Raw genomic sequence first — 27064 nt, 5'->3', positions numbered from 1 at the left:
CCATTTTGTCTCCTAGTGATAAATGACACTTTACAGAAATGGATAATCAAAAGAGGGAATTGGCTAAAAAGGATGAACACGTAGCAAATAAATGAAAAATGATAATACTGGGAAGTGAAATTTGAATCAAAGATAAATGGAGTTATAAAAGAAATAGCTGGCTCTGGGAATGTTGACTCTACTGCCATTCAAGAGACTCTGGGAACACAGCCAGAGAAAGTCAGTGAAAGTGAAATTATCGATATAAATGAAAAAATAAGTTGTGACAAAAAGGAAGAAGCTGTCCCAGAAGTGATGTCAAGAAAAAAACTTACGTTAAAGGAACTCTCAGAGATATTTCATAACATTGAAAGTGCAAAGGATAAAATGCTGGAAGTGGATTCAAACTTCACAGGAAACACGACAATTCATCAACACACAGAAGAACTGCTTGCTTTGTAATGTAAGTCATATAATGAGGAAAAGGCAAACAATGTTTAAAGTATTCTTCGTAAGTTTTGTTTTTTGTTTTTTCACAAAAAAGGAAACACTTTATTTCTTCATGTTTCTGTTTCAAATTCCAGTGAACTAAATATTAGTTTCACTAGTTTTTTCCATTTTCTACATACTTATAACTAAAAATAAGAGAGCATTTAATGTTGCAAAAAAAAAAAATCTTTTAGATATCACGAAGCAATTGTAATTTTTCCCATTGATTATTAAGGTTGCAGGTTTCAACTTGCATAGTTATTTTGTGGTTTCACACTACCAGGCTAAGTAAAGACTGCCTTCACATTTAATAAGATAGCCTCTAAATGTCTCAAAAATGACAAAACTAAAAGAGAAACATACAAATCCAAGATTTTTTTGGAGGAATATAATACATGTCTCTCAGTACCCGATGGAAACAGTACACACAATATTGGGAAAAACCAATATATACAAAGTATATATAGTATAGGAAATTTCAACAACACAATGGACAAACATGACATTTTAAATATATGGAATGCTTTATCCAACAATTGCAGACCACACATTCCTTTCAAAGTACATGTAATACTTACCAATATTGACCATAGACTGATCCATAATTCAAGGCTCAACAAATTTCAAAGAATTGAAATATAGAATATACTTTTGACCACAGAAGACTCTAGCTATGTTTTTTTTTTTTAAAAAAAAAAGTTACCCCAAATCCACATATGTTTTCAAGTTAAACAGCACACTTATAAATAACTCAGGAGTAAAAAAAGAAATCACAATGAAAACAAGAAAATTGGTTTGAATTGAATGGTAACAGAAATAAGATGTGAAAACTTATGAAATGTAGCTAAAGTCATGTTTAAAAGGAAATTTATGGCCTTAATGTATAAAATTTAAAAACAGAGAGGACAAAAAGCAATTACCTATGCATCACCTCAAGTTACTAGAAAAAGAACAAGTTAATGCAAACATAAAGGAATTAATGAAAAATAAGATCATATATATCTTCAGTTGGTCATATAAAAAGATTAATAAAAGGTTAATGAAAATGATAACCCTCTAGCAAGACTGAGCAGTAAAAATAAAAGAGACAAGCCACAAATTAACAATAGCATGAGTGAAAAATATCCTTATTCTGTAGAAACATGACAAAGAAAATAGCAGAATATTATGAAAAACTTAATGTGATATTTTAGATTTTTTTAAGGGACAAATTATTTGAAAAACCCAACTTATTAAAATTGACTTAAGATAGGTAGAAAACCTAAATTTCTCTACATTTGTTTTAAAATTTTAATCCATAATTGTATTTTTTTCCTCAAAGAAAACACCAGGCTCAGATAGTTTCACTGATGAATTCTCAAAAAATTAACACTAACCTTACACAAAATATTCCATAGAGCTGAGAACTGGAGCAAAAAGAAACTTATTTAAGAAACTTATTTATTTAGCTTTGATCATAAAACCTGACAAGACAGTAAAATAAAGAAAGTTAGGGCCAAACTCTAATGAATGTAGATGAAAAACCAACAACATATTCTCAAATAGAATTCAAAGCTCTGTGATTGGCTGTTGGTTTTCCAAATATCTTATGTTAGTTTAACATTAAAAAAATGTTTAATGTGAGTTAATATAGTAACAGAACAAAGAGAGAAAAAATATCATCTCAATAGATGCAGAAAAAGCATTAGATAAAATTCAACTCCACTTTCTCAGAAAACTGATGCAGGGCAGGCAAGCCCCCAAACTGGGGCTTAGCCAAGGAGAGGTTTTGGCTTTGCCCAGGAAAGAACTTGAAGGTGAGCCAGTGGTGTTAGACAGCAGCTTTTATGAAGAGGCAGCAGAGGTACCGCTACTCTCATAGCAAGGCTACCCCATAGACAGTGAGCTCAGAGTAGCAGCCTAGGAGCTTTTGGCAGTCATATTTATACCCACTTTTAATTATATGCTAATTAAGAGATGGCTATTCAGAACTTTCTGGAAAAGGGGCAAGGAGTTTTCGGAACTATATAGGGTAACTTTTGGGTCATTGCCATAGCATGCTGCCATGGCATTTATAAACTGCCATGGTGCTGCTGGAAGTGTCTTTATGCTAATGAGCAGTTAGGGCAACTAGAGGTCACTTTTATTGCCATCTGCTGGTTTTGGCTGGCTTCTTCACTGTAGGCTGTTTCAACCAGATCCTGCTCTGATTAGCAGGGCCCTAACCAATGCTTACAAAACAAGTCCTACTGATCTTCTACCTTAACCCCCTCTCAGATATTAGATACTCCTCCTTAATCCTCAGGGGGCTGCAGAAGGGTGGAGGTCTATCTTCTCTGAGTGCTTTCTGCTAATTTTACTTTGCTTTCTGCCTAGCACTGGGGGAATAAAAATCTTTGGACAGCTGGCCTAAGGGGCCTAAAGGGAGGGTGTTTTCATTTTTTGAGTCAGAAGAGGGGATGGGTTGAAAGCCTTGTGCTGCTAACATTTTTATATGGAATTGTTGTGGCCGGGCGCAGTGTCTCACACCTGTAATCCCAGCACTTTGGGAGGCCGAGATGGGCGGATCACGAGGTCAGGAGATCGAGACCATCCTGGCTAACACGGTGAAACCCCGTCTCTACTAAAAATACAAAAAATTAGCCGGGCATGGTGGCGGGTGCCTGTAGTCCCAGCTACTCGGGAGGCTGAGGCAGGAGAATGGCGTGAACCTGGGAAGCGGAGTTTCCAGTGAGCCAAGATTGTGCCACTGCACTCCAGCCTGGGTGACAGAGCAAGACTCCATCTCAAAAAACAAAAAAAAAAAAAAAAAAAAGAAGGAAGGAATTGTTGTAATCTAGAAGACACAAACTTTCTTAAGAGGTTCGATTAAGGCTGGGCGCAGTGGCTCATGCCTGTTATCCCAGCACTTTGGGAGGCTGAGGCAGGAGGATCACCTGAGGTCAGGAGTTTGAGACCAGCCTGACTAATGTGGTGAAACCCCATCTCTACTAAAAATACAAAAATTAGCCGGGCATAATGGCGGGCACCTGTAATTCCAGCTACTTGGGAGGCTGAGGCAGGAGAATCGCTTGAACCCGAGAGGCAGAGGTTGCAGTGAGCCAAGATCGCGCCATTGCACTCCAGCCCAGGTGACAGGGCGAGAGCAAGATTCCGTCTCAAACAAAAGAAAAAAAAAAAAAAAAAGAAAGAGGTTAAATTGGCAAAGGACAAAAATTAGTAATAACAGAAAGCTATTATTAGCTTTTACAGTAAAAGTCCTAGGAGAGGTAAGAACCAGGTAAGACTTGGGAGAACATTTTTGATAGTCAACCAAATACAGTTGGGGCCAGTACCCTCATTGTATTTGTGTTATCGGGTAGTTTGTTCATAGATTTTTTGAAGGTTAACCTCAACCTGTTTGAAGTTATTAATATTAATTAATTAATATATTAATATTAATATATGTATAGCATATTTTATTAATAACTGCATAGACTTGCCTTGTTTAGCTACTAAATAATCCAGCACTAGTTTGTTATCAAGTATTATATTTGCCCAAGAGTCTAGGAATTTTTGAATTCCCTTTAATGCCTAATCTGTGTTGGTGGCTAATGATTGTAGGGTTTGAGTCAAGCATTTTAGGGCTAACTCATGGTAGGCCAAGCCATCCCAGGGGTCTGCTAGTCTTATTACTGCCCCAATTCCTGCCAGAATCAACGTCATTGCTCATTTATTTCTGGTATTCCTGGGTCTTAAGGGGTTATAGACGGTGATCCCCACAGGGGTAAGGGTGGCCAATGTATGTTCACCCATTTCACCTTTTTGATAAATTAGGGAAAGCTATGCCTGAAAGAACACGTGGCTCCCCAGGAAGTCGGGAATGGTTATGAGATATGACTGTTTCCCACTCATGACCACAAACAGAAACGAGCCCAGTTGGGGCACAGAGGCCCCACAAGGTGTGATGTCTACCCTTTGCAGCCACATTGGGTCTGTAGAGATATTTCTCCCCTGCTCCAGTGGGGGTGGTCAAACTCTCCTTGTTCTTTAGAAGGGGGCTGTGCTTCCACCTTCCCCAGTTAGGCAGTTGCTTTTCCCCTGTGTGTTTTGATTCAGGAGAAGGCCTATAAACAGATTTTTCGAACACAAGTGGAATCCCATTTACCTTGCTGCGACCTTGGGAACTTGGCAACTAGAGTTAGATTAGAGCATTGAAGGGAAACTTTTGTTTTTGTGTCATTAACACAACAGTGGGTACTAAAGATAGAATTATTAGTGCACTGGAGGTAAAGATAGCCAACTTTCCAGGTCTAGGTCATAGTGGCAGGGGGTTTAGGTGGAATCCATTAAGTGAGGCAGAGTTTCACCTAACAAGTAGGGGTCTGGGTACTTTGAGATTGCAGTGATTAGTCAGGAGGTCTGGGGAGATGGCCATGAGATTTTTCTGGATAGGCCAGAAGGTGGAATTTGCTATTCTGGAAATGTTGATGACAAATTTAGTAATCACAAAGATGATTCCCTGACGCTATAATTTTTGAAATATTTATTATAAAGTTTTACTTCCACCCACATTGGATTAGGTTAATTGAGAGAGCAAACAGGATTAATAGTGCCAACATGGTGTCTAGTAGGTCCTTAGAAGAGTCTCTACACCCAACAAGGATACAAGAGGTGTTTTCTAGGAGAAGGTAGTTGGCCAAAGCAATAGAAAAGACTTATTATAATCAAGAAGAAAATAATTAATGCACCTATTGCTATCCACAGTATCACATTATTACTTTTGGCCATGTGTTATTTTAAATAGGTAGCAGAGGTCTTTCAAAGGTTTACAGAGGTAGGTCATGGCTTCTTCCGCAGATGTAGGTTATGGTGCCTGTGACTCATTAAAAAACAGGTTTTATTCTGGAGAGGTGTACCCAAGTAGTTATTTTTTAAAAGTTTAATATGGTGAGGGTGTTTAATAATACCTGATAGGGGCCCTTCCATTTTGGTTGTAATTTATCCTCAAGGTATCCTTTTTTTTTTTTCTCCCAGTAAGGCTAAGTCTCCCAATTGAAGAGAAAAAGTATTCTTTTTTGCATCGGAAAGGGCAATACTTTATTTTTATAATTTGGAATGGCCTCTGATCCTGGCTTAAACATTAGGGGTTTGGAGCATAGTGAGGTGTGTCTGACCCTTTATTTCTCATCAGGCTTGAATTAGATTTTTTAGCATTTGGAGGGGATTCCCTTTGGCCAAGTGGGGGATCTACTCAGTCTGTAGAGGGGCCATGGATTTTTTTTTCAGTTTACGTTTTCCCTTTTTGTCAAGGCACTACAGAAATAGTATTAATAGCCAAGCTTTCCTCTTGTCTCACCCCGATGCTGGGGTGGTGTGCTATCTGCCCCGGGTCCATTATGTCCTTTGGTGGGATCCTTATGGTCAAGGGAGTTAGAGTTAAAAGACTTATAGCTAATTAATTGTTTTAGGCCAGCCAGGAATGAAGGTGGGCAGACACTTATTAGCTCTTAAACCTCTTTTAAGCAATATAAGAGTCAAAACTAAAAGTCAAAAAATAAGGTTATAAAACTGACTTATGTGTGTTGAGTTGCTATAATCTTGGCTTGTAGTAATTAGTTATACAAAACACAAACATTTTGTTTAGGCATCTATGTGCCTGTCTTTGATTTGGAGGATCTCAGTTAATTTTATCTCTCAAAATCTGGTCCTTATAATCTCACACGCCCACCTCTTCCATGATTGTCTTTGGGCCTGGGGGGACTGAACAGTTTTACATTTGAGAGGCAAAATAAAACATAAAGAATTAGCAATGCTTTAAACAAAAAGGTCATAAGCCCAGCCTAGTTTTGAAAATGACAGGAAAGGAAGCTCACTGGTAGCTAAACATTTAAATTATTTGGTATCAAGGACTATAATAAGTTATATTAATTTAGGTAAAGGCAAAATTATTAAGTGAATACAAGCTTGCCCCTGTGTCTCATGAAAGCAGTTTACTTTGATTATCCCCTTTGCTCAGGTTTAAAGAAGAGGCTTTGGTTAACTTGAGTTTGATGTTAGATACTGGCAGGAGTTGGTGCCTTTTCTAGACTCCATCTCTATATAACATTTAAAAATTAGCTGGGTGTAGTGGCAAGCAACTCTTGTCCTAGCTACTTGGGAGGCTGAGATGGGAGGATCTCTTGAGCCCAGGAGTTCAAGGCTATAGTAAGCTATGATGGCACCACTGTATTCCAGCCTGGAAAACAGAGCGAGACCCTGCCTCTTAAAAAAAAAAAAAGAACTTGAATTCGTCTAAAGATGTGTTTAAGAGCAAGAAAAGTTAGCCATAGTGTTGGAAGATATGAAAGAGCATATTACTGAAAAAGAATTAATATGCATATAATTATGATGAAATAATACAAATTATGAAGAAAATGACAGACAACTCAATGGAAAATTGAACAAAAGACTTGATTATGCCCTTAAAAAATATGTACAAATAGCTGATACACATATGAAAGCCTCCCAATCTCATTAGTCATCATGCAAATACAAACTGAAACCACAGGGCAATACCTTTACATATACAACAAAACATTAAAATGGAGACTTAAAAGACCAAATGTTGATGAAAATGTGAAACATTTGAAACACTCAAAACATCTGGTGGGAGTATACATTAGTACAACCACTGTGGAAAATTATTTGGGATTATTTACCAAAGCTGGCCTACTTGCGATCTGGCAGTTCCAAATATACCCATCTGTTTATACACGTTCACCACAAAAATGTACAGAAATGCTTATAGCAGAATGACTTGTAATAGCATAATAGAGAAAAACCAGAAGTAATCCAAATATTCATCAATATTAGAATGGTTAAATATATGGTGGTGTATTCATACATTGCAATGCTTATACCACAATGAAAATGAACACTACTGCTAAGTGAAGCAGCATGAATGAATCCCACAAATATAATGCCAAATAAGAAAGAATCAGTTGCAAAGAGTACATACTGTAAAGTGTTTTCCTATAAATTTCAAAAACAGTCAAAACTAATCTATGATGATAGAAACAGAAATAGTATCCACCTCAGTGGTGTAATAACTAAGAGGGGACATGAGAGAGCCTTGGAGGGGGGGCAGTGATGTGAATGTCCTATTTCTTGATCTATGTTGTGATTAGAAAGGATGTTCACTTTGCAAAAATTCATTGAGCTATTATGCATTTCTGATTTTTGCACTTTTCCGTGTGTATGTTACACTTTGATAAACTGATTACTCATGTATTAACAGAAAGAAGTCCACAATACAGAGAGGTGAAAATAAACTCAAAATATTAACACTTTGAGATAACAAAAGAAAATTTTCTGACAAGTCATCCAAATGCACCATTTACACACACACACACACACACACACACACATATGCTTACACCTTTCACATGCACAAAAGAAACATTTGGGCCACTTACTTTGAGCCAAACCTCATCCTCTTTCTTCAGGCTACCTTCTGGCTGTTCACTCCTGTCATCCTGAGTTTCATTTTCACTGGCAACACAGGGAAACCAGCCAGTTAGGGGACGGTGGTTGGGTAAATCTGGATGGTATGATGTGCAAATCTGAAATACAATTTCAACCAACAATTTGAAGTGTGGAGTGTGAAGATATAAGTAAGGACAATGAAACTCTCCAGCTCAAAGCAAAGTTGTTCTCTCTTTCTGAATGCCTAATGATCACATTATTGGCAGAAAACTTTTCTCAACATTGAAGAATTTCTCAGTGCTCTCTTTAACATCAAGATATAACTTACAAGGGTAGAAAACACAACAACTCTCGTTTATCATCGGCCCAGGGGTCTTACACACTGGGTGGTTACAAATAGTCCTGGCATATTTCAGGTAACTGCCCCAGGAACAGCCAGGGAAGTCTGTCTGGGGTGATGATGAAGCCCTTACCAGGCAGCATCCACTGGCCCCAAAAGTGAGGCTACTGAGTTAGGGAACCACTGAGGATTCAGCTAAGCAAAGGAGCCAGAGAAATGAAACTCCAGGAAATTTCTCCCACTTCACTTAGGGAAGACAGACAGACTAGACTAAAAGCCACTTCAGAGAGCGGTCATTACCTCAGAATCTCCCAACTTCCCTGGCTTCCTGTCATCGGATGCCAGGACTTGAAAGAGCAAGATGCTAGAATTTAGGCTGAGAGAGTGTGGCAGAAATGGCTAGTTGCCGATCGGTATCTATTTCCCCTTACTTTTTTATTAATAAACTCCAATTTTGTTCAAGGCGACAGTGTATCTGGTTATAAATGTTCATCTCCTTAGGGTCCCTTACAACTAAAGGTGATGAAGTGGCCTGGATCTGACCAGTAAGAGGCGGGTGGAACTTCCAGAAAAGCTATTATTTTCCCAATAAAAAGGGAAAGACTCAGCTGGCATGCACCTATTTTCCTTTGGCCTGCCCCCTCCTTCCTTGAAATGCTGACTTCACGCCTAGGAGAACTGCAGCCATGTTTTGAGCAGGAGGAAGAAGGCTGCACCCGAGGATGAAAGAGCTGGAATCTAGGAGACCCTGGGTCCTTGATGAAATCCTTGAACTGGAGCATCAACCTTAGCTGGCTCCTCAATCTCTTCAAAGATGTCTTCTCAAGTATAAAATCCTATTATTTCATTCTGGCCTGAAATACCTAGAGGCCTAAATCTCACTTCTGTGAAAGGGCTGTATTGCCTATTCTAATAAATGGAAGAGTTTATTTCACAATAAAAGCATCTAGAATAGGTCCCAAGAGTTGTGAGCCTTTAATCCTCTTTTCAGTCTTCAACTATATCTCATAGATGTCATTGGTATAGCATTTTAGATCCGTCAGAGGATCTTCTATCTATTTAGGTGGATATTCAGAAAAAAAATATGTACGCAAGAATTTACTTATATCAAGGGTTTCTTCAATAATAAAACTTCTTTAAATCAATTTATACTTTGATCTTTAATACATATTTTAAAGCTTATTTGATCATTGTAGTAAACCACTGAAACAGTGCAAATGGTGTTACTATACCCATTTTTCCAGGTGAGAACCTTGGGGCCCAGAGAGGTTAAGTGACTTGTCCAACATCATGTAATTGTAATAGCAATGCTGGCAGATCCAGTAATGTTCCCTAGGGCTTCTAACTCCTTACTTCTTCTTTTAATTATCCAAACATAGACCCCAAGTGTAAGCATAGGGGGAGTCACTTTACAATTTTGCGCAGGCTCGACTCTATTCATCTGGCTTAACTTACTAGGGAATGAGGTTCTCCAGTTACCAAGGAAACAGGACACTTCTTCTTGTCTTCATGAGAGGAGTAAGCCCGGGTAGCCCATTGATCCAAGTATCCTTTGGGAGTGTAGATGCCACAGTCTACAATGCTGGTTTTTCTCTCAAAAGGTTCACATATGCCATCTCCCTCATACATGTAGCAAAGGCTTGGCTCTCCTGCCAAGAAATATTGTGTGACACAGAAAAAGTGTTTTCATAAATGTCATGAAAAAAATGAACATGGGAATGTCCACAACACTTCTTCTCCAGCCCACTGAAGAGAATTCTGCAATTGCCTGCCAGTCTAATGCCTACCTCAAACACACAGATACACATACATCCCACACATCCCTAAAGAATAAGGATTTTTTCTCATTGGGAGAAAGGTAGAAACCATCTACATTATAAAAGTACAGAAATGGTTGAGATCAGGGGAGAAAGAACAGGGAGAAAAAAAGCAGCTGTAGACTGGGTGTGGAAAGAAATTTTAAGTAATAGTTGAGTAAGATATTTGGGAGAAACTAGAGATATAAGATAGGTAGGTAAAAGAAGAAAGGAATCTAAATAAATCCTATCAGGTATTACATATTTGAATCTTTTTCATAGTTTTTGAAATATTAAAGTATCACGGGGGGTTTGTTCTCAATCACTATTTGTTGCTTAATTGTGTTTCTTCAACTGCGTGACTGCTATTACACTGGAGAATATAGGCTCCAGGCTTTTGAGGCTTACATATGTTATTAATTTTTTTTTAGTCTTAGGACAACCCTGTGAGGTGTGTATTTTGTTTCTTTTATGATAGGAAGCCTGAGTCTCAGTGATTTTATGTGACTTTGTAGAGGACCCTCGAAAGGTAAGCAATAGAGCATTAATTTGAGTCAGGCTTAAATCCAAGAGCCAGAATGCAGGTTCAGCAGCTCACTGAACACTGCCTCAAACTAAGACAGAGGGGCTGTCTTCAAAAGCAAACAGGTGATAAATGAATATCTAAGAAAATATACTGGCGTTGTAAAGCCAGCTAGTATGCACTGGACAAGTTCCATTCTTGCTCATACGATAACTCCTAGTAAGTGAATAGCACTGACTCTTTATAGATACATAGACACACTGCCTTCAAATGTAGATAGCTGAGAAACACCTACAAAGCCATTTAAGTTCTGTTGCATTTTTTACCAAAATATGAGACAATTAATATTAATGGCACAATTCAAATTTCCATTTTCTATTTAAAAATAGGACATGAAAATAAGATTAAGATTCAAAATAACAACACCTAGGTATATATTCAATAAGAGCATTACTAAAATTTACTGTTACTATTTCCTTTTCTTCATGTTCAATTCTTCACAGCAATACCACAGGGCTATTCCAGTAATTTGCCAGCTGTCCATCAATATATAGTTATTAATTATTCTCTTAACAATTTCCTCTAAGACCCTTCTGTGGTAAATCTATCTCTACTTGCCAGATATAAGCCACTGTCCACAGGACTTGGTTGAAAGTCTATTTTGGGCTTTCAACTCATGCATTTCACCAAACCTACTCAAAGCACTCTCCAAAGCCAATGTATGTGCTTTTGGAATGACTTTCCCATGATGATTCTCTCTCTCTCTCTCTCTCTCTCTCTCTACATGTACGTATAGTTTTGTTTTGTTTTTCTTCTTATAACCCAGTAACTACTCTTCTTACTTCTTGTCTCTATTTTTTTAAGCACGGACTTAAAATTTTTGTTTATGTTTCTTTCAAATTCATCGGAATACTTTAAAAATATATTTTACAATGGGGTTCCTTCAAACCTGATATTTTGAGAAATAATGGAATATGTGCTTAGCATATGATGAACTTATGATTCACTGAAAAAATGTCTACTGTTGGAATATATCATTTTAACCTTACCCTGTATAGTTAAAACAATTTAAATATAGTCTTACTGGGGTTGAAGGAAATAGCCAAATTTTATGAGATCAAATGTGATAGACACAAATTAAGGTCTGCTCTTAGGTTAAATAAGACTTGAGCTACACTGAGGAAAGTTCAGTGTTTGGAGAATATATATTGCATTTAATATGCGACCACTATGTGGCTACCAAAAAGAAATAATGCTAACAGAGGTTGTGTTAACAAATACTTGTGTACAGAAGAGGGAGGTAATCGGTTCGATGTATTCGGCATAGCCAGACCACATCTGGAGTATTGGATTCCCTTCTGGGCACTGACCACATGAAGCATGACAGTTTGGGGTAAATAAGAAAGGGTCTGGAAACCTAATCACATGAGGGGATGTTTGGATTGGAAAGGAGAATAATGGAGAGGTATTTCAAATATCTGAATGGTAGTCAAATAAAACAGAAAAAAATATATATCCTCTGTAGTTTCATAGCAGGGAAAACGCACTTGATTAAGCATGAGGAAAGCTGAGTTCTAGGGCTGGCTCTGCAAAGATTTCATTGTATGTCCTTGGATGAGTCATTAAAACGTTCTGAGCCTCAGTTTTCGAACTGGAAAAAAGGGGAAAAATTTTACAACAGATAAGGCCATTTGTAAACAGAATGGTCTGTTTCAAGGTTCATTCTTCATGGCTAGATTTAGGTAAGCAAAAGCTAGAAACTCATCTGTCATGCTTTGGTAGGAGGCATTTCTGTAAGACAGAGAAGCTGTACTCTAAGTCACTGCTAAACTTGTACTCATGAAAGGATCAGGGACTCTGTCAGACTCATGGTACACAACAAGCACAGAATACATGGTACCACTGAACATATAGCACACGATGGGCCTTTTTCAAATGGATGGATGGATGAATTTATGGAGAGAGGACCACCAACATTCTATGATTCAGGTCTGGCTCTGGAGAGCAGGGACATTTGTATATTCTGTATAATACTTAACACCTTAATAAATTATACATAATTGTAATCACATTCGACTTTATCTTAAGATTTCATGACATTAAAATATTTTTAAATGCACTGCTATTTTAAAAACTTCAATGTGTGGTTATCCTCTACCAAATCATTGCAATCTATGCAGATGACAATGGAAAATAATCTGCATCTAAGAAACCTGTTGATGGTAGCTTTAATCAGAATTGGAAAAGTGTTGTAGACTGCCTCCCTGGAGTGGCAAGAGTCTAGAGTTAAAAGCACCTTATACTCTAGAGTCAAAGTTAAAATTTTTACCAGTGATTCTCCAAGGCTAAAATATGTTAGGATCCTCTTTTATTCTTCATGATTGAATCTATTACACACAGTCACCAAAATATGTCTTGCATTCACTTTGGCTTAGAATGTTTCCTTACCCTAATTTGTATGTAGAGTCCATTTGATTGTGCTACTTACCTGACATATTGGCGTTACCCTGGAGGGTCCAAGATAAATCCCTGGTAACATTAAGCTAGGAAGCAGTATAACCTAATGGTTTACCACGCAGATTCTAGAGCTGTACTTCCTTAGTTCAAATGCTGACTTTACCACTTCTAGCTGCATAAATGAAATCAAGTTATTTAAGCTCTGTGCCTCACTTTGTCTTCCCCAGTTATTCTAAGGATTGACTGAGATAATACCTGTGAAACAATTCATGCCTGGCATACAAGGGACACATCAGAGGTTATTATTATAATCACTAAGCTAGATGTTACAGGATATCAAGAACTCACAAAATAATACACCTCTAAAAGTAGGACACAATCTTAGACTGAAACTCTTGAACTTACCTACACAGTTGAAACCTTCCTCCAGCTCACACACCTTGGAGCAGCCATCTCCGCTCACAAGGTCTCCATCATCACACTCTTCTCCCAGTCTCCTAGAGGGTAAAATATATATGCATATATAACACATACACACAAATTTTCTTGTTTAGCTACCATCATTTAAAATTCTTACAATTTCTCAGTATATATTAAAAAGTGCAAGTTGGAAAAAAGTAGGAGCTAGAAGAATGCTTTTACAGAAAATAGAAACAAACATATGGATATATAAAGTAGATACAATTTAAGCAATGATTGGTGGTTGGCATGTCCAGTGGGTTGTGGGAATTCCTGAAGTTAAGTAGCTCATGGCTCAGAAACATCTAGGAGATCCATGAGGGTCCTGATGATGTTTCTGGGAGAGGGTCTTAAGCTTAGAAAAACCCTGCCAGCCCTATAATGAATAAAGGCTTAAAATAGCTGATGATGGTAAGAAGAAAGCCTGCCTGTCTGTGTGGTTTCATCTATTCATTTTTATCTGGTATTTCTTTATGTTTTCATTGTTTTGTTACATAAAGGTGCAGTTGTTATAAAAATTAGGATTTTGTAGAATTCAATCTCCTGTTCATATACCCAGAGACTTAAGCAGCCTGTCTAGGGAATCCTTAGGGCTCAGGTCCCTGTCTTTACTCCCTACTACCACCTGGTTACAGCTAACATATATTGCAGGGAAGAAACAAATGCTGAGAGAAGAAAAATGTTTTTGTTTCCAACCTCAAATGCTAATGCAACAGACAACAAAATTTGAATTGAGGTGGGGGAGTTAGTTTATAGTGAAACGGACATAAAGTAATTCATGGAAACAAAATAAGTTTGGGTTGATGCTCCTATGAAAGAACCAATATTTGGCTATTGCAAAATGGATGAGGACTACCATTTTTTTCTCCTTGACTTTTTTCATGCTCAAAATGGACATATATTTTAACTCAGTAGATAAAGGATTTGGAATGTTAAAGTGTTTTCAGACCCAGAACATCATAAATAGCTCTAATCTATTGTTTAAAGTATGCCTCACTAGGATGAATGAAAGATTAAATAATTAGAAATGAGAATGGTTTAAAATGAATTAAATGTATGCTATGAATACAGTGATATAGTAATCATATTTTAAATGGCAAGCTGGAAGTGGAGAAGGCTAAAAGTGATATAAAAACAACATAATTGAAGAAATTAAGGAAACTACAAATCATTTTTCTATATAAATGCAATGTGGTTCAATGAAAAGAGACTGTACTGGGGACCTAATTAAATGTGTGCTATATCCAAGAAGTCTCCAAATACTTTATGCCTTAATGTGCTTATTTATGGAGAGAGGATTAACCTTCATCTATGTTTTGCTACAAGGGGTCCAGGAATAATCTTGGAGGTCGGCAACTTTATATTTTCATTTTGAAGATAATCTAAACAATCAATATAAGCATGCTATGTATCATCTTGTGCCATGCGGCCCAACAGAACTGTAATGAAAGCCACATTTTTAATTTTTCTAGTAGTCATTTAAAAAGTAAAAAGAAACTGGTAAAATTAGTTTTAATAATATATTTTACCTAACCCAAAATATTCAAAATATTATTTCAATCTGCAGTCAGTATAAAATGAGGCATGTTACATTATTTTTGTATACTAAGTCTTTGAAATCTAGTGTGTATTTTTCACTTACAGCACATCTGAATTCAACTATTTGATCTGTATTTAGACTTTATAAAATTTATAGTTGGAACATTAGATTTACCTGCCCAAGTTGTTCCAAATATACTTGAAGATTTTCCAATAACCAAACTGAGTTTTGGTTTTTAAACTAAATATAAATTACTTAAAATTAAATAAAATTAAGTATTCAGTTTTTTAGTTGCATTTGGTATATTTTAAAGGCAAAAAGAGCCACCTATGGTTGGTGGCTCCTATATTGAACAGCACAGATTGAAATGATTAACTTCTATATGAATACTGTTTATAATTTCAGGGCCCTGCATCGTGCTTGTTTTGGTAGTCCTATTGACAAGTGTTATCCAAGTGATCAAATGATTGGTATGGATTCTTCTTGTTTTACGTGTAATGTGGTGCATTTGGCTAAGCCAGATTTGGAGTTGCATACCTTCCCATTGGATGGAAGTGCTAGTTACACAGAGAAGAAAACATAGGCAGAAGTTTCAAGGAACATTTTGATAAGTAACCTTGCGAGACCCAGTAGCCAAGCAGTGCTGCCTTAGATGAAGCTGCTTTAAGGCTCGTGAGAGAATGTGCAAAATCAGGGTAGGGAAAGAGCCCTCCACCCCTTTCAAGCCCCACATCCTCCAGGCAGAAATGGCACCCTGGGGCTGCAGGGTGGCCACCATCAGACAGCTGCCTTGGAAGACACTAGGACAGAGGGCAGAGTGTTTTGTTCAAGGAGGGTCCTGCCAGTGTAGTAGTGGTCACCCACCCCCCCCAGCACATTAACTGGAGGGCTTCAGGTTTAAAATGAAGCAACCAAAACAGAGAAAACAACAACAGTGTCAAGTGGACTTGTCCTCTGCAATGTGAAGCATCCAAGGGAGAAATCTGATTTGAAGTGAAGGAGGGAAGGTGGCAGGCTGAGTTAGGTAGCAAGGGACAGCACGTGAGCAAGGTTGAGGTGACCTCAATGGCTTCCACATATTATCGAGGGCTGGGAACATTTTAGTGTTTATACTTCTATGACAAGGAATAGACTTACTATAGTTTCAGGATCTTAGAAGATTGAGGAGATAAACAATGTTGAGTGACTGCTAAATGATGGGATGGAATCCCAAGCAAGCCTACAGAATTGATTCCCATTAGGGCTTCAATATACGATATATTTTCACCTGGTCTGGGAAAATAAAAATAACCCATCTTATTAGGATGCAAAATCTAAGACAAATCACAGTGTCTGGCTTCCAGCCTCCTCATCCCAGCAGCTTTATATAAGTAACAAATAGATGAGCATTAAAGTTAGGTTGATGTAGGGTGATCAACTGTCCAGGATTTCCTGGGACTTGGTATTTTTAGTGCTAAAACCGGGGAAGTCCCAGGCAAACCAGAATGAATTAATTAGTCCTCTATGCTAATATCACAAAAGGGCAACAAGAAAAGTAACATAGTATGTTAAGAAACAGAAAGGGTGATTCCATTTCTACCTTGGTGATGCCTACAGAATAGCTGGAAATTATATTGTTATCAGTTCTACTAAGGGTTGCATGAGAAACTGAAGATCCGAAAGCTATACTGAATTTCCTCAGATCACACACCTCGTTAGCAGAATAGGCCATTTGTTCAAAAGAGATCCTCTTTCAGCATCATTTGATGAGTAACCTTCTTCTGCATAAATTCCTTCCCTGAATCACTGTCCAGCAGTTGCTTGCTGAGGCCATAAAAGGGGCCCCCAGATAATCGGCCTCAATACCTCAATACTCTGGGGTTAGCTATAAGTAAAAGTGGGTTCCTCCATAACTATGTAGAGATGCCAGATCTCAAGACCTGACACAACCAAGTCCCAGATTTTAGAATTTCAACACTAGAATCAAATGGTGCCTTGCTCCCTACATTTCCAAAACAAGTCAAACTCCTGAAACTTCTGTTTAGAGAACAGTGTCCCTGCTCTCTCTCCCTCCCTCTCTCTCTCTCTCTCTCTCTCTCTCACACACACACACACACACACACACACACACAAAATACTCACTCTGACACCTTCCCATCTCCACAATAAGGAGCTCCATGAATGTGGTTCAGAGGAGGCGAAGCTTCTCCCAGTTCTCCTCCAGCTTCAGCTAGAACTTGGTACTGATACATCTGTCCAGGTGTGACCTCCCTGTGGAAACCAAAGGGTTTGTGACCACTACAGCCACAAAGTGAGGCATGCCCTGGGTCCTTTGTTGATGGTTCACAGAAGTTGAAGGGAAATATTATGGGAAACATAAAGGTTAAACATACGCTGCATTGTCTAAAACAAAGATCAGGGCACAGTCTTCCCGAGCACCAGAAGGTTTGAAACCATATTTATTTCTGTATCCCCTGTGCGTTGCACAGAGTAAATGCGCAGTAAATGCTTGCTGCGTTAACACTGAACCTAACAGTCCCAGTTAATCTAGGAAGATGGTATTTCAAGTGCATTTTTACCATGTTAAAACAAAACAAAACTATTTAAAAGCCAGTCTTCTGTATCATCAAAGTAATCAAAGAAACTGGAGATGAAAGCTTCAGAGTTTGGGCTCAGGAAGTCCCCCTTCTTGGGTCTGCGATCATAGTTTTCTCTCAAGAGAATTCCTGTCTTGAGAAGACTGAATCCTTAGGAGTAAGATCAACTGTCTCATAACAGCAGGTAGGAACAACTTTTGTCACAATTTGGGGGAAGCAAGAAGTTCCACAATTAGAAATGCATTAAACAACTCCCCACCTCCAAATCTATTAAAGTGTGTAGGTATCAGGAATGGAGTTGTATCAGTTGACCCTAGAGATGAAAGGAGCTTGTCAGACTCTCTCTAGATCCTGGGTGCACTGATTGTGTGGTGAGGGTGAAAGGCAAGACACTGAGAAGAGGAAAAGGGCTCAAGAAGGAGAGCTTCTGGTCCCAAAGACAAAATCTGCCTTCATCTTAATTTTGCCCAGTGCCTGCCCTAATTGGAAAACTACCACCAAAGTCAAGCTAGGATGGGAGTTACTTAGTGAAACAGGATCTCAAAGGGTTGCTGGGACTACTGTGAGTGGCTGCCATCAGTATTCTGCCATGGTTCTCTCTTCTTTAACAGACTTTTCAACTCACCCACAAAGCCTCCACTCCCTCAGCTGATGCAGCAACCAGCAACCAGGAAATGTCTCAGGGTTTCAAAAACATCTTTAAAAACCTCTGTGCTGGCTTTTAAGTATTTTAATAGAAAAGAAACCTAGATATTAAAGTCTTTTAAATTTCCAAATTAGTTACCCCCACATCCCCCAGAGAAGCAAACCTCTCATGAGAATGCCAGATATTTCTAAAGTAAAACCAATTTTATATCCTAATCAATGCTGACAGTTTCCCTTTACAAGGCGGTTTCTGTCAGACTGCTTGTCCAGCCATGCATAAAAGCTTCACACTTTTCTGTGGCTGGGGAAAGGACTGGATGGAAACATCAGCATGTGTTTACTTTTCTTGAGGAAAAACTCAGCGGCAGGTAGCCCAAGCCCTCCAGGATCTGAGTTTGTAAAAGGCAGAGTGTTAACTGAAGCAAGAGGACCAAAATGAGATCCAGTTGAAAAATTGGATTTTAATTCCGATTTTGCTATTTACTAGCTATTGAACCAAATCAAAGTTAAGCCTCAGATTTTTCATCTACAAAATGAGATATTATTGGCCTTAAACATGTGTGTGTGTGTGTGTGTGTGTGTGTATGTGTGTGTGTGTAGCAAATTAGATAACAAATGTCATCTTAACTGCCTTATTTAAGAAGTTCAAAATGACATCTTTTTTCTTTTTAAAGCTACCTTTGCATTTGCATTAGCTTTTTGGTCATTTCACTATCTTCTAGTTCTAATTGACAGAGCAAATATGGGAAGAAAAATGTAATGAAGCTCAAGGTGGACATTTTTCTCTACTTTTTCTGTAGCTATGGTAGACTGCCAAATGACTACCCTGTCCCCAATGTTCCCCTCTATCATGTGACTTTGCTGCCTCTTTCATCAAAAGGGAGGGTTTATTTCGCCACCCATTGAGTCTAAAATTGCTGTGTGACTTGCTTTGGCTAGTGGAACATTATCATGAATAACATAAAGCAAAGATTTGAAAAGTGTAAGCATTTGGGGCTTGCCCTCTCTGCTGCTGGAAACCCTTCCACTACCATGAAAAGCCCAGGCCAGGCCTTGAGAGACCATGAGGAAAGAGGCCCTCATCTCCCCAGCCATGCCAGCTGTCTCAGCTGTGTGGGAAGTCATCCCGGGCCATCTGGTGCTAGCCAAGTAAGTCTAGATGAGAGCACCCAACCTACCTATAGAATCATGAGAAATAATGTTTGTTGTTTTAACCCACTACCTTTTGTGATGATTTCTAATGCAGCAAAAACTAACTGACAGTATCTCTGATAAAACTTTGTTTTGCCCTAGTTCTGCCCTCAGGGCAGTCTCCAAAGAAGGTTATGAGGTCAAGAGAATTTGCCTTTGGAGTACCAGCCTCCTGCTCCAGATATTGAATTCTTTGTAAGTAAGGACCTCATCTTAGTCTGTGCCCCCAGCACTGAACATGCAGTGCCAGGAACATAGTAGAACTCACTAAATGTAGGAAGAAAAGACAGAACTAACAGGAAGAGGAGAGCTGGAAGAGAAAGATAAAAGAGAGTTGGTTATTGGGGTGTGAGGGGGGAAAATGAGAGAAGGGGAAAGAATGAAACTCATATCATGAATGAGTCATGGAACTGAGTGTATCGTCTGGTCTGCCAGGCCCTCGGCCTCCTTGCATAGCAATAGAAGAATTGACTATACCTTATAAATGTTATGGGGTCTGTGGCAGATGATCAGACAGCTAAAGCAAAGAATCAGAAATTAAATTGTCACCAGACAGGAGTATCTGATTCTGATCAACTTATTTGTAGCAATTATGTTCAGTTCAACTGAAACATCTCATACACTAACCTTTTGTCCATAATCATGATGATGGCATCAGCAATCAGACACCTGCTTGCCCCTTTCTGGGAAGTGCTTTTCTTTACCTCAGATATGCCACTTTACGGTAAAATCCCCTCTGAAAGTCTAAACATTCCTCCGACTAAGGGCATGGCTGAATATTAAAAAGTGGGGGAAAAGTAACAAAACCCACCCCCAGAGCCTCAGGAAGCCCCATAGTCATGCTACCAAACTCACACGTCCGTGAACTTCCTGTGAGAATGTGTCACCACCACGGGCAAACCACTGGCAAATGGGGGATCGCGGAGAACCTGGTACCTCACAGGCCTGCAGCCAGAGCACAAGGGACTGTGGGGCTGAGAAGTCAGGAGTGCTGCATCAATCTCTATCCTCTCATCAAAGGTGTAGACTTTCACCCCCGACACCTTCCCATCCACGTGCAGTTTGATGGTGAGTGGGATGTCACAGAAAGTGTCTAAGGGGCCCAGGTGCACTGACTCCTTGTTTTCCAGCAAGATCTCTGTGTCAAAGAGGACCTGCGAGGACTCCATGAAGAAGGAAGTGACCCACAGGGTGAGGGTGTCGGCTTGGACCGGGTGTTGGAAGAGCAGCTCCAAGCTACAGCCTTCTGTGGGGCAGGGGACCGTCATGTTCATGTGGTACAGGTGGACCTCAGGGCTCCAGGCCTGTAAGCTTGGCTCGCAGGGCTGATCCACATCAGGAGGCCCTGGGGGGAGATTAGCAGAAAGATACATCAGTAGCAGCCATTAAAAGTCAGAAAATGAGTAGCCCTTAGCAGCCAGAAAGAGGAACTATGGAGAGAACTTTTAGAATTCCTGTAGAAGTTGGTCATCTTAGCAGGTTAGATCTTAAGTACTAGTAAGAACAAAGGTGTAAAAGTAAAAAGCATTACACTCTTGTTACCCCATCCCTGTACATGGTGCCCTTAGCAAGAGGAAACCCACCAGGAATTGGGAAGGGAGCAACCCAGATCCTAGGTGGAAACATGAGGCTGATGCAGAGAAGTCATGTCCTTAAACAATCCTTGAGCAGAGAATTACATGTGATTAGTCCATTCATAACTTATGATAAATTAATGCTTCTGAAGACCAGTGATTTCACTCTGTCACTGCAATCTTTGTAGGGCTTTTCCCAAAACTTCTTTCATTCCCTAAGATCCCACCCTGGCAATCCTTTCAACTGATGGTTAGACGAACTTTAAAACCATACATTGAAATTTCCCTTTCAGTTCAGGTATGTGTAAGCAGGTAGGTAACTGCAGGCAGGAAATATAAACACATATTATGGAGTGGGAAAAAAAATGAAGATTCAGTAGCCAAATAAAAATGTAATGATAAAAAATCAAATATCACGAATCTATGAAAGTCAGCTCCATGGAAGTAATCTACCCAAATGGTTTTCTTTTCTGTCGTGTGATGGGAGTTGAAGAGAGAGTGTTGAATCGAGAACTAGCAGAGTCAGCCCTCCTGTGTCCTTAGCTGAGTGGCTGTGGCACATCTTTCTATGCCTCAGTTTCCTCTTTTACAAAATAAGTGATAATGTTTAGCCCCGCCTTACTAGGGCAGTGTAGATCTATACAATGTTCTAGAGAAATTAAATACCTACATTTACCAAAGTAGAAGTATTTAGCCCTTCAAAATTTGGAAAATAAATTATGTCCCAAAGCCCAGAGAAAACCAGTTCAAACATTGCAATTTCCCTTTCAGTGCAGGTATGTGTGAGTAGGGAGGTAGCTGCAGGGAAAAACTGCAGGCAGGAAATAGAAACACATATTATTAATTTCAAAAATATGTGTGTGCAACTGTGTGTGTGTGGTGTGTTACATCTTATGGTTTTTATTGTTTTTTGCCTATATTGTGTGTTGATTCATTTATTATGAGTTGATTCATTAATTCAACAAAAATTGGTAGTGTAGTTCTTTTACACCAAGAACTAATCTAGGTATTAGAGATAGAGGAGTGAACAAGAGAGACAAAGTCTTGCCTTTCTATATGTTACAGTAAAGTGATAGATGTAACAATAAATACATAAAAGAATATAAAGTATAATATTAAGTAGTAATGATATCTGTGAAGACAAGTGGAGGAACATAAGGGAATACAGGATTATGAGGTGAGGCTGGGAGCTATTTTAGGTTATGAAGCCAGAAAATTCTCACCATGAAGATGATGTTTAAGCAGGGAATATGTCTGTTTTAGTTTTCTAATCCCCATAGCATTTAGAAAATAGTTGGTGGTTAAGCAGTGTTCATTAGACCTATTTATAAATACATGTGTTTGTGCCTGCTCTGTTAGAGATTACTCTTATAGTGTATATTTTAAATATGACCTGGTTCTTCACCTTTTCAAAGCAAAGACTAGTATTTCTTATTAATCATATATACTTAGTTCATTAATGATTTATAAATTAATGCTTGTGAAGTCCAATGTTAACAGTCCCAAAAACTTCTCATTTTGTCTGATAATTATTATTAAGCCCCCAATACTAGCAGCATAAAGGTCCTTGGAAATCAACCTAACATCAGCACTGCCAGTCAAAAAGTTTTTATTATGACTTCATGTTAAAGCATGAAATGGAAGCCCTAAAAGTTGATTTGGTTTGCCTTAAGACACAATACAAGAATTAGAACGTAGAACTTCTAATTCCTTTTACCTCTCTCAGATAACTGATTTTTCCCCCTAGAAATAAAAAGGAAAAAAATACCAGGTCAGGGAATCAAACAGGCATTAAAACACCAGCACAGGACAGACTGCCACACACACACAAAATGGCCCTTTATGAAATGCAAATCTCTGTTTAGAGTCCAATGCAGTAAATTTTATACTCACTTTCCATTCTTCCCTGAAAATTCTCACTTGAAAAAAGTCATATACAATCAATCAAGTAAATTGTCTCCTTCCAGATTTATCCCTGAAGCCCTGTCACTTGAGTGACTGGGAGCCCAGGATGATATCTTGCAGATACTGCAGACTCTCAGACCAATATTCTCCTTTTTTTTCGTGTCACAATCAAGACTGCAGATTAATTCAAATAGGGCTTTGGCCAACACATCTTATTTAATTGTTTCTAGTGTCTTAATAAATATTTTAAAGGCAAAGAAAAAAGATGATAATTAGGTAAACATTAAAGATGATGATGATGGAAGAAGTCAAGCCATTCATCAGGAGGTGCTAAAATCCTGTCAACAGTATTTTCTGACTTGAACTGGAAAAAGATTCATGCTTTAATTTGTCTTAGGCGCATTAATATACATATGTGAGTGAATGTGTGACTGTTTGAAAAGTTAGGGGAGGTACAGAAAAAAAGATAACAAAAAATATTTTCCCCTTCCTGGAGCCTAGCTCAGATCATATCCAAAGCACAACCAGTACCAGTGATTAATAGACTCATAAAATAGCATAGACGAGAACAGTCAGTGTGGAACACCTGGTCTCCCCACCCCCACCCAGACTTGCTCAGCCAGTACATGAGTTTTCTCTGCGGTCCCCCCACCCCCACCCAGACTTGCTCAGCCATTGCATGAGTGTTCTCTGCGGTGTGTTTCCTGATGCAGAGGAGTAAGAGGTCAGCTTACACTGTCACATGGCACGGCTACTCCAAGGACCAGTAGGCACACGTAACACTACACCTCCCAGCTATCTCACCCTGAAGTCACACCCTGAGTTCAGCTGACTTCTCCATCCTTCTGTCCTATATGCTGGTCTCTGCTTTACCACAGCCATGGGGCCTCCATGTTAGGCACATATGGAACATTCTGCACACAGCGGCACCAGGCAGCTCCAAAAGATATCCAGCAAAACACACACACACACACACACACACACACACACACACACACATACACATACATTGCCTTTTTGTCACCATGTCACTACTCCACTCTTTACCTCCACCCCCATCCTCAGTGGTCACCAGGGTATAAAGAAAAAATGTCATGGTACTTTACCCACAGCCTCCTCTGGGGTCCAATAACCTGAGGAGTCACACACCCGCCGGGAGGAAGCTGTGTGCACATACTGACGAAAGGTCCCATCTTCAGTGCAAGCGCCACACAAGCTGCCTGAGGCCCTGGGGAGATAAAGGGATGGAGATGGGAGATGAGGAGAGTCCATCAGATGAGTTGGGATAAGAAAATTAGAAAGACCTTTGTGTGGGGAGGGCAGGGGTTGATGGTTAGTAAGGACCTAGAGAGTAACTAAGAACAACTGTATCTCAATCGTTTTTTCTTGTGTGGACCTCATCTTTGCAAAATTCAGTGACATGAAAATTTCAAGATCATGAAGCAGAAAAAATTAACTAAGTCATAAAAGAGGCCTGTGGAGATGAAAGTGGGCATTTTCTGTCCTAGGAACAGTAAACAACAAACAATTAAAATCTGAATCTTTCAACATAAAACTCCCTTCTACATTGACTCTCAAGTCATTCAAAGGCTCCTTGAATTTCCCCACTAAAACAGGCAATAATTTCCCACATAAACTTATTAGCCATATGTGTCCTTATGTTTTAAGCTCCCTACTTTAAATCACTTACATAAAATAAAAGTCAGGTGAAATGTAATGTCTCTTGGCTCACCATTGCCCTTGGAGATATATCCAAATTATTTATCACGTCTCAAGGCCCTTCACAAGCTAGCTCCAGCCTCACCTACTGCAGTTCCTTTCTGAGATTTATATTTCCAGCGCAATGAACAGATCACCATTCCACAAATACATCATGCCTTTGAGCTGTTCTCTCTGCTGCCAAACAGCCTTTCCAAGCTTCTCTGTTTAGCAAACTCCTACTTACCCATCAAGAACCATTCAAATGTAAACTCTGCAGTAGCACTTAGCCTCTCTCCTCTGAGTGACCAGTACTCCCTTCTCTGTGCACCCACTGCACCTGCTGGATCCTCTCTTAGGGCTCTGCTATGCGGTGTTGAGAATTTCCATTCACATTCTTTCCTCTCTTTTGCCTGTGAGCCAGTCCAGACCAAGCTCTATTCTGATTTATATTTCCAACAGGATTGGACCCAGCAGTCCCTCTGTGAATGCTTGTTTTATGGATATCCATGACGTGATTAATACAGTTTATGAAAGTTCTACAAGTACTATAACTGAGGTAACTGGAAGAGGTAGACACAATAATAGCTACATAATAATGGTAAGTCACTTCAAGGGGCTTGCCTCTGATGCTTAGAATCTTTTTAGAAGCCCACTTGTGAATGACGCATCTGAAAACGGAGGCATCAAGTCAGGGTCTCAATAACATCTTGTAATATGCCAGAAAAATAGTATTATAAAATAAAGGTAGTGATTATGACAGCTGCTCCCATTTCTGAAGTACCTCACATAACTGGCATTGTGCCGCTGTGTCGTGCTTTTCATAAATGATTTCTAATTCCTGTAATAACCTTATGTTTACAAATGAGAAAACTCAGGCTCAGAGAGGTTAAGTAAATTGCCTAAGGTCACAACAAGTTCCTTAATTCCTTTGAGCAAGTTCCCAAACACCATTGAGCGTCCAGTACTTTGGAAACTAAAAGGTGTAGTTAAGATCCAACCTCTGACTCCAATCAGCACTCACTTCTAACATGAACAAAACTCCAAAGCTCATTCCTCTGATGCACTTGGCCCTTCCGTGGCTGCTGCTAAGTGCGTAGCTGGGGCTCTTCTCTGACATAAGGGTTCCAAATACCTGCTGGGGTGGAGTAAACACAACTCCAAGCATGACACAAATTGCTGGCCATGTGACGTGAGTCCCCCTGACACACATGTTGGGAGGTCTCAAAACTGCAGTCCACCTAGCTGAGAAAAGGAAGCAAACTGCAGGTTTTTCTGCCAACAGACTCTCAGCACGCCCGTACTGATGTCTGCTTTATCGTAACGTTTGTACCAGAGAGAGAATTCAAAGATTAAATTGTTTACATGTGTTACATAAACGGATGTAAAACTCTGGTTTGCACACACCCACAGAGGACTTGCTGTTCAGGCAGTTCGACCAAAGCTGCACAAGGTCACACTTGCAGGAAGATGATTCTCACACACATCACACAGATGTGTGCTGACTCACAAACAGAGCCCAAAAGGGTTTGGGCGCTGATGACCATGAAACTACTTTGTAGGGTTGTGAGGTCTAAGTGGTGTCACACACTAAGTATGTATCAAGGTATCAGGGACAGGTATCAAAATCCCAAGAGGCTGAAATACCACTGTGAAAGAGGATTCACCAGCTTCCTCCTATCCCTGTCTCTCTCTTGCCTCTCTCCCTAGGCTTTCAGCAAAGCTGAAGGGCACGGAAACTTGCTCCAGCGACACCCTTCTCTTTAGCTGAGGCCTGACACCCAGAGGGAAAGTGTGGTGCAAAGAAGAGATGTGCTAAATAAGAATGCTCTAAATTAAAAGAAAGCATCCATTCTATGTTCCTTATTCCCGAATTTCCACTGGACTCCCGAGTTCACCTCCAATCAGTTGTGGGGTCTTGGGTTTGCCATTGTATGTTTCTCTATGCCTCAGAATTCTCACTTATTTAGCAGGAACTGCGTTTACTGCAAAGACTAAATAAGACAAGTGCAAGTAAAATACCTAGCACAACACTTCACATATAGTGCCACAAATAGATCAGGGACTGTCGTCATTCAGAATACAGCAGTAGGTTTTGAAAGAGGTCAGTCTGCACAGGTCACAGAAGGGGTTCTGGTCCTTCTCAGTGAAACCACATTCTCCCATCCCTCACCAATTATCAGATGTCATTCATTTTCCTACCTTTCTCTCCTTTCTACAAAAATTTATCTGTTATTCTTTCAAACCAATATGCAAAGGACAAATGAAAGTTAGTTTTAGGTGTAATGCTTTTCTTCAGCAAACACACATTAGGTGTCTGTTGTGGCAGGGCAAGAGACAAAGAGACAAAAAATCATCCTGCCTCCCCCAGTAGTTGCCAGTCAAGTGGGGCAGGTAGGAAAATAAGCAGAGGATGACAATTCCATAAGATAGTGGCCTTAAGAGGGGGAGGCACAGGAGGCTGAGA

At 39.3% G+C, this 27064-nt stretch overlaps 1 protein-coding gene across 6 annotated transcripts in view; it reads right to left on the bottom strand.

Annotated features, from left to right (window-relative positions):
- The window catches only part of PAPPA2 (pappalysin 2), a 382427-nt gene that overhangs the window by 125737 nt on the left and 229626 nt on the right, over positions 1-27064 (bottom strand). For all 6 annotated transcript variants that reach the window (XM_047427180.1, XM_017002024.2, XM_017002023.2 and 3 more), the window contains 6 exons: positions 24006-24127; positions 20276-20765; positions 17130-17258; positions 13415-13506; positions 9689-9882; positions 7884-8030 (listed from right to left, as the gene is read on the bottom strand). In XM_047427180.1, the coding sequence (XP_047283136.1) occupies positions 7884-8030; positions 9689-9882; positions 13415-13506; positions 17130-17258; positions 20276-20765; positions 24006-24127 (1174 nt within the window). The remainder of the gene's footprint in view (positions 1-7883; positions 8031-9688; positions 9883-13414; positions 13507-17129; positions 17259-20275; positions 20766-24005; positions 24128-27064) is intronic.

The sequence above is a fragment of the Homo sapiens genome, chromosome 1, assembly GCF_000001405.40.
Source record: "Homo sapiens chromosome 1, GRCh38.p14 Primary Assembly".
NCBI classification, from domain to species: domain Eukaryota; kingdom Metazoa; phylum Chordata; class Mammalia; order Primates; family Hominidae; genus Homo; species Homo sapiens.
Note: the sequence above shows the minus strand (reverse complement) of the source record. Positions and strands in the feature narration are given on the sequence as shown.